Genomic DNA, 12,826 nt, shown 5'->3' with positions numbered 1-12,826 from the left:
AGAACACTGGTAGAAAAACAAAAGAAACCAGCCTGGAGACAGTTAAGATGTCATGCGTGGTGAGTGTAATTAGCCCCCAAAGAAGTCTGGATTTGTTTTTTTGTAACAAGGCTATATGCACATATTAACATCTCCATGTTTTCACTGATATGAAGTAAAGTTTGTATATTTAAAAACCTGGGCGCAGCATCCGTGCCTGCAGACATTCCTGGGCTCCTCTGTCTTGAACAGCTGCAAGTTGAAGTCTGTGATACTCTGACACCTTGTGGTGGTTATAGTTTTTGTGTGCAAAAACTTTTTTGAAAACCCCACAAAACCCAAACAGCCTGTGTTCATTTCTTATGGCTGACAGTCTTCATTCCTGGCAGTTGCATTCCTGAGAGGTTGCCCATAGGCGAGAGTTCAGCATATTAAATCTTGTTTCTTGTCTATTTTAACATTAAAATTGTGATTAATTTTGAATGGTAAAAAAAGGTTTTCAGATGGAATTTAGTCACTAAGAAGTATGTATTGAACATGTATCTACTCAATACCTGTCACAGGGCCGGGCGCGGCGGCTCACGTCTGTAATCCCAGCACTTTGGGAGGCTGAGGCGGGCGGATCACAAGGTCAGGAGATCGAGACCATCCTGGCTAACATGGTGAAACCCCGTCTCTACTAAAAATACAAAAAAATTAGCCGGGCGTGGTGGTGGGCACCTTTAGTCCCAGCTACTCGGGAGGCTGAGGCAGGAGAATGGTGTGAACTTGGGAGGTGGAGCTTGCAGTGAGCCAAGATCGAACCACTGCACTCCAGCCTGGGCAACAGAGCGAGACGCCATCTCAAAAAAAAAAAAAAAAAAAAAACCTGTTACAGGTCTCTTTCATTTCATTTCATTTCATTGGTGTGGTAAGTCTCACCCCTGTAGAGTAAGGTAGCTACTGATATTCCCATTTCACCTAGGAGAAAACGAAGCCTAAGAAAACTAAGAATTTAAGTAATTTGAGCCAGCACACAAGCTGATAAGTGGGTGAGATTTATTTATTTTAATTAATTAATTAATTAATTAATTAATTTTTGAGCGGAGTTTCGCTCTTGTTGCCCAGGCTAGAGTGCAATGGCGTGATGTCAACTCACTGCAACCTCCACCTCCTCCCGGATTCAAGTGATTCTCCTGTCTCAGTCTCCTGAGTAGCTGGGATTACAGGCACGTGCTACCACATCTGGCTAATTTTTTGTGTTTTTAGTAGAGACGGGGTTTCTCCATGTTGGTCAGGCTGGTCTTGAACTGCCGACCTCAGGTGATCCGCCCACCTTGGCCTCCCAAAGTGCTGGGATTACAGGAGTGAGCCACCACGCCTGGCCGAGATATTTATTCTATTTATTTTATGTAACTCCAATATCTTGTAATCTTCCCAAATGCCATATTGCCGTGCCTTAAATAATATAAATATTTAAAAACACTTAATGAGAAAATGATGGTTTTTAAAAACTTTGTGGAAAAATTAATTGCAGAGTATTGTTTGCTCAGTTTGGTTTGGAGGAATAAAATATGTCAGCCAATCTGTCTTTCATAGCCTGTCAGGAAGTAGCTATCTAGGTGTTTCAAACTTCTGTTGACATCACAGAAAAGATGAATTATAACGGGGGTTCCTGTTTGTTGCTCACCCATTATATGTCTAGTATGGAAGAAAATATCTGGTTTGTGTAATTTTGTGTGTCATCAATACTTCTCGAAATGTGTTTTTGCTTGTTTGCTTGTTTGTTTTTTGAGACAGAGTCTCTGTCACCCAGAGTAGAGTGCAGTGGTGCGATCTCTGCTCCTGCAACCTCCGCCTCCCGGGTTGAAGCGATTCTCGTGTCTGAGCCTTTGGGAGTAGCTGGGACTACAGGCATGTGCCACCACATCTGGCTAATTTTTGTAATTTTAGTAGCGATGGGGTTTCACCATGTCGGCCAGGTTGGTCTCAAACTCCTGACCTCAAGTGATCCTCGGCCTCCCAAAGTGCTGGGATTATAGCCTGAAATGTTAAGGTTATGTTTGTGGCTTCTGAACTACATGAACTCATATGTCATATATTCAGATTTATTTTCATTAACTGTATTTACTGGAGGTAGATTAAATCATACAACATGCAGAACGTGACCAGGTGAAAAATATGATTTATGATTAATGCTCAGTCATGTGAAAATTGGTTTAATCAGTTATAAAGTCAGAACTTAGCTTAACGACTTCAGGATTTCATTTTCTTCGTAGTTGGAGAAGTTGTAGAATATTGCAGTTTATCACAAAAACTCCAAATTAAAAATCAAACCACGCCAGGCATCGTGGCTCATGTCTATAATCCCAGTATTTTGGGAGACTGAGGCAGGAGGATCACTTGAGCTCAGGAATTCAAAACCAGTCTGGGAAACATGGTGAGACCTCATCTCTACTAAAAATAAAAAAAATTAGCTGGGCATGGTGACACACACCTGTAGTCCTAGCTCCTTGGGAGGCTGAGGCTGGAGGATCGCTTGAACTCTTAAAATTGAGGCTGCAGTTAGCCATGATTGTGCCACTCACTCCAGCCTGGGCAACACAGCAAGACCCTGGCTCAAAAACAAATCAATCTAATGCTGCCCACCAAAAGAAATATTAAGAATATTTGGCTGCTTAGAAACTGTTATAGGCATTTCTTCTGGGGCCTTTGGGTCTGATTAGACATGTATCTCCAGTTGCACTTTGTTACAACCGCACCCTGCCCTCCTGGTCCGGAGCACGCTTCCTTTGATACACCTTCCCCCAAATCTGCATAGAGAAGGCTTTCCGTAAATGCTGCAGAAAATGGTCATCATTCACTAACTTCACTTCCCTTCTATCTCTCCCCACATCTTTAAATTATACATTTCTGGTGCTTTTAAGTTTTCCCAAACAATGTTGTATAGTATTGTGTAACATTTTCAGTTGAGAACCTTATTCCTCTTTATACTTTAAAATATCAAATCCATGTTTTGCTCTTTCCTTGATATTTGTTGTTTCTTGGCCCATACACCGATTTTGTTCTTCATTCGCTATGCCTGACAACCTTGTTCTGTTCTATGGCATATCCATGGTTAGCCAAGTTCATATCATTGAAGAGTGCTGATGTTTGAGATCTTTCTTCATCTGAATTAACGAGATGATGATTCTTATATTCTGAGAAACTAACATTTAAATGTTCTTAGACTTTACAACGTCCACCTCTGTAGTCAAGGTCCTTGTAACCCTGTGTCCAGCCTCTCACTAAATATAATCATTGCTACCACTATTTCCCAGATGCAGAAGTCCAGTCTCAGGGTGAATGGGATTTGGCCAACATAAATATCATAAGCACCTAAGTTAGTGACAGAGCCGGGGCTGGAACCTGCAACTCTGAATGCTTGTTGGAACCCTCAGATTTCAAAACACAGAGCCTTCTTTTTCCTTCAGGTTAAAATCCTGCAAGCTACTGGGTTGCCACAGCATCTGTCCCACTTTGTGTTCTGCAAATACAGCTTCTGGGATCAACAGGAGCCGGTGATTGTCGCTCCTGAAGTGGACACCTCCTCCTCTTCCGTCAGCAAGGAGCCGCACTGCATGGTTGTCTTTGATCATTGCAATGTGAGTTTGTTTTCCAGAGTAGGTCAGCATTTAGATTACTCATGTGAAAACAAAACAGAAAATGAACCTTGTTTCTTTGACTAAATGTGCCGTTATATGTCTTGGAGCAGTTTCTGTAGAGTGTGGGGATTGAGTAAAAAGTGTCAATGCATCTATACTCCTCCACAACCCAAAGGTAACTTTTGCATGAGAAACAAAACACATATGTATGTATATATGCATATTCTTCTCCAAAGAAAATCTATGTCCTATATTAGGTTACTGAAGAAATTATCTAAAACAGTTAAGAAACTTGTGTTTTAGAGAAAGTGAACACAGGTAACAGAGAAGAACTAACTTTATTGAGCACCGAATGCTCTGTAAAGCTCTTTGTTATTCCTTCATTTGGATCCTCCACCGTAGTTATCTTTGTTGATAGTGCATTTTTTTGTGTTTGTTTGTTTTGTTTTGAGACAGAGTCTCGCTCAGTCACCCAGGCTGGAGTGCAGTGGCACGATCTTGGCTCACTGCAACCCCTGCCTCCTGGGTTCAAGCGATTCTCCTGCCTCAGCCTCCCAAGTAGCTGGGATTACAGGTGCTTGCCACCATGCGCAGCTAATTTTTTTGTATTTTTAGTAGAGACAAGGTTTCACCGTGTTGGCCAAGCTGGTTTCAAACTCCTGACCTCAAATGATCAGCCCACCTCAGCCTCCCAAAGTGCTGGGATTACAGGCATGAGCCACCACACCCAGCCAACAGTGCGTTTTTTGTTGTTGTTGTTTGTTTTTTCCCAGCTGAAAACACAAACAAATCAGAGAGGTCATTTTGCCCAAAGTAGTTCTTCACTGGTTTGTCCATGGCTGGTGAGCAGCAGAATGTGGACTATTGGGTCCCCAAGTCTTTCTTGCTCCTGTACCACACTTGATCCATTTCATCTCTTTCAAGAGAGAGGCCTCTTTCTAATCCGTTTAAAGCCAAAATACTTCACTACATTAAAGATAGATAGAGAGGGGGAGACAACAACAGAGATAGGAGATTCTGTGATTTCTTTAATAAACTGTTTTAGAGCTAAATCCTAATTGCAATATGCTATCTTATAAAGATGGACAGGCTGGCAGAATTTTCACAAATTAGATCTTTTTTTGGTGCTAATGATTTTATTTCCTTATTCTCCTAATAGAGATAGTTAACTTTCTAAAAAGTGGGAAAAAATGTTTTTGCAACACACTACCTTATTGCATATAACTTTTATATCAACACATTATAGATCAGTGTTGTAACACTTTATACAATTATGCTCTTAAAAATAGCTCCCAAAATATTGCTAACAAAATAGAATGCAATGGTGGTCTTACATACTAGACTTTCAATCTGAAAAGTTTAAAAAAAATTCCGATTTATACTTATGTTTAAAGTCAAGAACCTTTTGCCATCTGAGCATTCATTATGGGTTTTAGATGATAGTTCTGTATAACTAAAACATTCCATTTTCTATTTTTTTTCCCTGATATAATTAAGTATGTGATGTCTGGTATAAACAATCATAAGATTACCAGAAAGAGTTTGCTCTTCTGTAATTAGCTGTTGTGTTTCAGGAGTTTTCTGTTAACATCACCGAAGACTTTATCGAGCATCTTTCCGAAGGAGCATTGGCAATTGAAGTATATGGACATAAAATAAACGATCCCCGGAAAAACCCCGCCCTGTGGGATTTGGGAATCATCCAAGCAAAGACACGTAGTCTTCGGGACAGGTGAATATTAGATGTTCATCTGATTCCATTTATATATATGTAATTTTTTTTTTGTTTTTTGAGACAGTCTCATTCACTCTGTCACCCAGGCTGGAGTGCAGTGGCACGATCTTGGCTCACTGCAGCCTCTGCCTCCTGGGAGTAAGCAATTCTCTTGCCTCAGCCTCCTGAATAGCTGGGATTATAGGCATGCACACCACGCCTGGCTAATTTTTGTATTTTTGGTAAAGACAAGGTTTCACCATATTGGCCAGGCTGGTCTTGAACTCCTGACCTCAAGTGATCTGCCCACCTCACCCTCCCAAAGTGCTGAGATTACAGGCGTGAGCCACCATGCCTGGCTAGATTCCATTTATAATTTTTAAAAATTGCTAGAGATTAGTACTGCCATTTATAGAGGTTACTATTTTCTGAGCATGACCAGTGTTCCCTGAAGGGATGGCAGTGTCTCCAGGGTATTAATCACACAATTAAACTTCCTTAGGGAAGTGGACTGCAGAGAATAATGGAAGAAAGTTCAATTTGTAGCTGATTAAGAAGAAACAGTGAAATGAATTTTGGAGAATAGTGACTTACCGTTATGAATTACTTTTAATTAATCAGCTGTAGAGAGTATGGATCAAGATTCACTCTAGTGTTGTCTTTAGCTCATAGCTCTGAGTGGCATCAGTGTTGGAAAGAGGTAGGCTTCTTTGTGGACTTAAAAGGAAGCATTAAAAGGGATTGACTGAAATTGCATATGTTTGTGCTTTTCACCTAATTATAGATGAAAACAGATTTTCTTTTTCTTTTTTGCATTTGGATAGTTTAGCAAATACTAAATTAGAAAGTGACATTTGAGATTTTTTCCTTGATTCTCTTACTGACCTGAGAAAAATACTTGGCACATCACTGAAGCATATGGCACTACCTTTGTCTATCTACGAAAAGACAACCCCTGTATTTGCTTTTTTTTTCCTTTTTTTTTTTTAATAGTTTCAAATTATTTTAGATTTGGGGGTACATGTGCAGGTTGTTTACCTGGGTATATTGTGTGATGCTGAGCTTTGGGGTGTGATTGATCCTGTCACTCAGGTAGTAAGCATAGTACTCAGGAGGTAGTTTTTCAACCCTTGCTCACTTCCCTGCTCCCCAACTCCTGGGAGTCTCCAGTGTCTGTTGTTGCTATCTTTTTGTCTGTGAATACCCAGTGTTTAGCTCCCACTTATAAGCGAGAACATGGGGTTTTTGCTTTTCTATTTCTGCATTAATTTGCTTAGGATAATAGCCTCGAGCTGTATCCAAGTTGCTGCAAGGGATATGATTTTGTTTGGTTGTATTTTTTTATGGCTGTGTACTTGCTGCTTCTGTACATCTGATTAGAATTTCCAATTTTTGAGTAACGACTTTGAAATAGATTTGTCATTACATCTTTTTGAACAAAGTAAAGGAGCCATTTCTAGTTCTGATATTGTGAGTTTAACTTTGCTTTCCATTATTCTTGCCAGTATGTACATGCATGGTATTCACTGAACTACAGATCATTCTGAATTACTCTGTTTGGAGGTCATTTTCATTGTTAATTCTTATGTGTGTAGGACCCTAAGCTGCCTGTAATGAAATAGAAATGTATGATTTTCCAAGAACTTCGCTTATTTCCTAGATGGAGTGAAGTGACCAGGAAATTGGAATTCTGGGTTCAAATCTTGGAACAGAATGAGAATGGTGAATACTGCCCTGTAGAAGTGATTTCTGCAAAGGATGTCCCAACAGGAGGAATCTTCCAGCTCCGGCAGGTAACAAGATTGTGAATGTTTACATTAGATTCTTTGGTGCCAGAAAGCTTAATATTGGCTTCTTTTTAGTGGAAATGTTGGCAATAATGAAATCTAGACTGGCCAAGTCCATTTCTTACATTAAAATTCTCCTATCTCATGTCACAAGTATTGCTATTAAATTTTTTTTTCTTTTAATGAAGTAGAGACACAGGGATCTCGCTTTGTTGCCCAGGCTGGTCTTGAACTCCTAGGCTCAAGCAATCCTCCCACCTTGGCCTTCCAAAGTGTTGGAATTATGGGTGTGAGCCACTGCTGTCAGCCAAATATTGATATTTATAATATTTTAAAAACCAGTTCTGTTAGTGTTAGGTAAGAAAAAGATAAACTTTAAAGGAAAACTTAGAATTGATTTGTAGGACATAAACCAAACATATCAAACAGCTTTAGAAAGAATTGATTTGTAGGACATAAACCAAACATATCAAACAGCTTTAGAACATTTAGGAAGACAAGGAGAAGCTATGTGACATGCCAGAAATAATAAGCATTCAGATTGTAAAATGCTTGGGCTCAATTCTGGCTCTCTAGTGTCCTGGCTGTCTATCCCTGAGCAAGTTCAATAACCTCTTGCCTTCGCCTGTTATGTAGACATGATGATAACACCACCTTCATGAGATTAGTGTGAGGATTAAGAGAGATGCATGTTTAAAGCACAGGGCCTGACATGCCAGGTGTTAAGTACACACAGCTGGGTAGATACACATGCCAGAATCCACAGAGCAGAGAAGAATATGGGAGTGGCCACTTAACCCCACATGCATCCGCAGAGTCTGTGCTGCCAACTAACAGTGAGAGGGAAATTTTTAATTTAATTTGTATACAGGATTTGGAATTTTTTTTTTTTGCTATACTTTAATGCATTGTTTAGGAGACTGCCATATTCTATGAGTTTCCATACTTTAAAACAGCAGTAAAATACTAGAATCGCTCTAGAAAACGAGCGTAGAAAGCATTCAAAGCAAAATAGAGAAAATTAAAGGAAAGAGAACATTTGCTTACATGTTTAAGTTTCTGAATGTTTTAAGAGGAGGATGATGATAAACACTTGTTCTCTGACCCCAGCAAATAAATTTTAGCAAAGTGAAAGATTAGTTTAAATTAAAGCATGTGTTGTACACATAAAATAGAATTCTTAAGGGTGTGAAGAACATCTTTTTCTGGGCGTCTGTTAAAAAATATATGTATCTTCTTCGAAGTCTTAGAAATTCATCTACTGGAAGGCAAGACTGGATAATTTTCTATGATTTAGTGTAAATTGGATATTTAAGTATTTGTCATACTTCTGACACCCTTTACTAAAAGTGTTCAAAGAAATGTTGGTTTATCAGGAAAGGGCTTTTTGAAGGATATGCCTCTTTACCTTCATATTGAAAAAATCATGCAAGTTCTGAAAGGATTTTTCTTATATGATGGCAAAAACCGCAATTTTCACCAACTTAATGGCAAGAATAAAGACACAGAGGCCATAAATTAGGTCCATTTGGATAGAAAGTCATGTGGAGAAAGAGCTGGAAAACAGGAAGAGAACAGGTTGCAGAAGCTTCTGGAGGCTGGTTTCGGAGGGCCTTGAATGCTAGGCTCATTTGAGTCTAATATGTTTGAAAATTGGCTTGTATTGTTCTTGAACGGGAACGTGGCAGAGGACAACTGATTAGCTTTAACCATGTGAAAAGTGCTGTTTTTGTAGAAATAAATGGTCAAATATCAGTAGTGACAGGAAGTTCTGTCTAATAGTTTAAGTGTACTTTTAAACGTTTTTCTGTGGAACAGTAAACCATTGCCAGATCCTTTCTCTCCTTTTCTTCCCTCTCCTTAGGAATCTTCCCTTCAAGTGCGCACTTCACCCTTCACACTTAGGCACAGATTCACAATAGATCACTTCGGAAAGTGCTTAGGCAAACTAAGCAAATAAAAGGTAGCTAATTGAAATGACAAAACTGTTTAGGCTATTAAAATATTTTCTTTAGGACTTTTCCCACAAAATATCTGAGGCTTAGTCCTTGGTGATATTAAATCAGAAAACATCTGTATCCCAGCCACTCAAATGGAGTTTGATAGGATCAGTGGTTGCCTGAGCTGATTTTCCTGATCATGCAGAGCTCTTGGGAACTAAAATCTGATGGAAGAGGGCAAGAGTAATTGACTTGCAATTGAACATTTAAATTCTGTTTTTCAAATGCTATTTTACATTTCTAAAATTTATAAACCAAGTTTGAAGTCAGTAATTTGGGAATACTGTGAATTCTCTTTTAAAATATTACTTCATTGTAAATATATACCAAGTCTCACATAATAAACAGTCTAAACAATCATATTTACTGATTATTTTTTATAATTATATATTTATATTTATATTAATGATATATACTGCTATATCAGTAAATTATATTTTATGTATTATATACAAGTTATTTACATAATATATTTACTGATATATTTACTGATACTGATTTTTTATATTTACTGATTTTATATTTATATTTATATTTACTGGTACTTTAACATGTCATATGTTTTTCTACAGTAATACTTTAACAACTGTATAGTGTTTCATTATATGTTTCACAGTTTAAGGTTATTGTTTTGTATAAAACAAATAATAAAGTTATTGAATGTATAAAATATTCATTCAATTTGTGTCTAATTTTTTGTTCTTAAAGGTGCTTAAGATTTTTTGTGTATATGTATGATTATTTACTTAGCTCTCTGGAAAGTTGAATTGCTGGGTTAAAGGAACTTATATTTTTAAGTCAAATTGCCTTGCAGAAAACTTGCACCAATTTAAATTCCCACTTACAGTGTATGAAATTGTTTCGTAAATGTAGGGCATTGGAAATTCCTCTTTTAAAATATAATTGCCAATTTAGGAAGTGAAAATACAGGTGTGTCATGCTTTAATTTAATTTGTATTTATTTAATTATCAGTAAGTTGAACTTTTTTATTGGCCAACTGTTTGCATTTCCTTTCTTAGAATTTTTTAATGTTACTTCTTATTGAAAGAATATGTAAACATATATTTATTCTGTTTTTTAGCTCACTTAAAAGGGAAATGATTTTTCCCGATTAGTTTTTAAATTTGTATTTTAATGCTTAACAATAAGGTATAGTGACAGTGTCTGAATTAAACATTTTTCTCAACATCAGCCTGTAGGGGTCTCTCTAAATCAAATTTTTGGAAATCAAGACACTGATTTTAAGACTCTAAATTGTCTGTGACCCAGGGGCAGTCCCGGAGAGTTCAAGTCGAAGTGAAGTCAGTGCAGGAATCTGGGACTTTACCACTGATGGAAGAATGTATACTGTCTGTTGGCATTGGATGTGTCAAAGTTAGACCGCTCAGAGCCCCCAGAACACATGAGACCTTCCATGTAAGTTTCTATACCTGTTATGTTCTTCTTGAAAGACAAAATCAGACCAGAGTGCCTTTTGGAACCCGTACGAAACTACTTTTTATGAACATTTCTTTCCGTGAATCTCTTTGTTTACCTTTGCTGTCTTTTTTTGTGTCTTGCATTTTCATGGAATCACTGCATCGGACTGTATTACTGGTTTTGCCCTGGTGTAGGTGGCAAGCTGAGGGTTAAAACGTCTCAGCCTTCATAGATTCCACAGTGCCTGCTAGTGATTAACTCCTCAACATCACCCCACCCCTCTGGAGAAACCCCCTACTGGCTTGTAAAGACTATTTGCCAGCAGGTGTTTGATTTCCCCTGGCGAGTGGGACTATAAACCCAGCAGGGAGAGCATTGCACTGGTTCCCGAAAAGGTCAAATGAGTGTGCTTCACTCTTCTGTGAGCGGCTCCAACTTCCTGACAACTGTAAAACCCAGAGTGAGGGTGTGGGTAGGTGGGAGATGAAATAGTATATTAATTCAATTGGAAAATATAAATTATGGGTAAAGAGTCAGATTGTTTAGCGTAGCCTGATTCTTGGATAAATCAATAATTCAGTTCTTTGTAATGTATATTTTCTTTTAGGAGGAAGAGGAAGACATGGACAGCTACCAGGTAATTTAGCACCTGTTAATCTCATCTCAAATAAGCATGATTAAAGTATATAATTACACATTCCTGGATCTGGCTATACTGTTATTTAAGGATTAAACAATTCATACTGATTTTTTTGTTGTTTTAAAGTAAAACAGAGTAGGGAACATTGAGTGTTGTTTCATAGGCTGTAAAGTGTGTTAGGAGTGGGAAATCATTCGTGACTGAGATCCTTTTCCAAACCTGGAGCTCCCCAGCCAGGCTCCCTGAAGATCCGTTTCTCTGGATCCTCTTCCCTGGACATTTTCTCTCCTGAGTGAGTCCCCACTCGTTGCCCCTATTATAGTTGTCTCATTCTGAGCTTTAGTCAACACTAGGTGTTTTGCATTTTTTTGTTTGTTTTTGTTTTTTTTTTTGTGACAGAGTCTCACCCTGTTGCCCAGGCTGGAGTGCAATAGCGCCATCTCGGCTCACTGCAACTTCCCTCCTGCCCCAGCCTACCAAGTAGCTGGGATTACAGGTGCACGCCACCATGCCCAGCTAATTTTTTGTATCTTTACTAGAGACGGGGTTTCACAATGTTGGCCCGGCTGGTCCCGAATTCCTGACCTTGTGATCCACCCGCCTAGGCTTCCCAAAGTGTTGGGATTACAGGCATGAGCCACCGCGCCCGACTGAATTTTGCATTTTTTAAGCTAGATCTTTCTTCCCTACTTCCTGGAATCATACAGCATTTGGAATCTTTTTTTTTTTTTCCTTTGTTTTCTTTTCCTAACCTCCTGCAAGACTTTGTTTCTTTCTGTGCAGTTTCATCTGTTAGTCATCGTTCAGGACTGTCAGGGCTCTTTGGAGCCTGATTATGTCATCCGTGTAGTCACTTTCCTGGTTTTGCATCATTCTAATTTGATAGAAATGTCTGCTTTCCTATAAGTCACTGATAAAAACACTGTATCAGATAGGATTAAATACAGAGTCCTATGGCACAACAATAGAGACTTTTTTCAAGCTGACATTAATCACTATTCTTCGGATGTGATATTTGAGTCCTCTGTGATTTCACTTAAGTAGATGCATCGCACGTTTCTCCATCTTGTCCACAACAATGTCATAGGCTATTTGGTTAAGTGCCCTAGTAAAGCCCAGACACACTATATCTGCAGCATTCCACTGACCTACCCAGTCTTGTAACCTTATTAGAAAAGGAAATGAGGTAAGATTGATATTCATGTAGGTGTTGACTGGTAGGTTGTTATTCTGTTGATGACAACCCCTATCCCCTCTTTCCCCTACCTGTTGCCCCACAAAATGCATAAAAACAAGTGAGAGAAGCATTTACATGTTGTCTTCAAGAGCCTGTTTTGACATATAGAAAGCAGAAGTTACAAAAGTTGATTCTTCTGATTATTCTAAGGTACATAAATTGAAAGTGGTTTTTTGTTTGTTTTGTTTTTTGGAGACAGAGTCTTGCTCTACCACCCAGACCATAGTGCAGTGGAGTGATCTTGGCTCATTGCAACCTCTGCCTCTCAGGTTTAAGTAATTCTCTTGCCTCAGCCTCCCAAGTAGTTGGCATGAAAGGTGAACACCACCATGCCCAGCTAATTTTTTTTTTTTTTTTTGGGATGGAGTTTTGTTCTTGTTGCCCAGGCTGGAGTGCCATGGCACAGTCTCGGCTCATTGCAACCTC

At 38.7% G+C, this 12,826-nt stretch overlaps 1 protein-coding gene across 8 annotated transcripts in view; it reads left to right on the top strand.

Moving 5' to 3' along the window:
• Positions 1-12,826, top strand: part of KIF13B (kinesin family member 13B) — a 196,111-nt gene that overhangs the window by 125,747 nt on the left and 57,538 nt on the right. For all 8 annotated transcript variants that reach the window (XM_011544459.4, XM_005273458.2, NM_015254.4 and 5 more), the window contains 5 exons: positions 3,432-3,602; positions 5,177-5,334; positions 6,977-7,109; positions 10,374-10,520; positions 11,131-11,160. In XM_011544459.4, the coding sequence (XP_011542761.1) occupies positions 3,432-3,602; positions 5,177-5,334; positions 6,977-7,109; positions 10,374-10,520; positions 11,131-11,160 (639 nt within the window). The remainder of the gene's footprint in view (positions 1-3,431; positions 3,603-5,176; positions 5,335-6,976; positions 7,110-10,373; positions 10,521-11,130; positions 11,161-12,826) is intronic.

This window comes from Homo sapiens, chromosome 8 (genome assembly GCF_000001405.40).
Source record: "Homo sapiens chromosome 8, GRCh38.p14 Primary Assembly".
Classification (NCBI taxonomy): domain Eukaryota; kingdom Metazoa; phylum Chordata; class Mammalia; order Primates; family Hominidae; genus Homo; species Homo sapiens.
The sequence above is the reverse complement of the archived record's forward strand: the minus strand, read 5'-3'. Positions and strand labels throughout refer to the sequence as shown.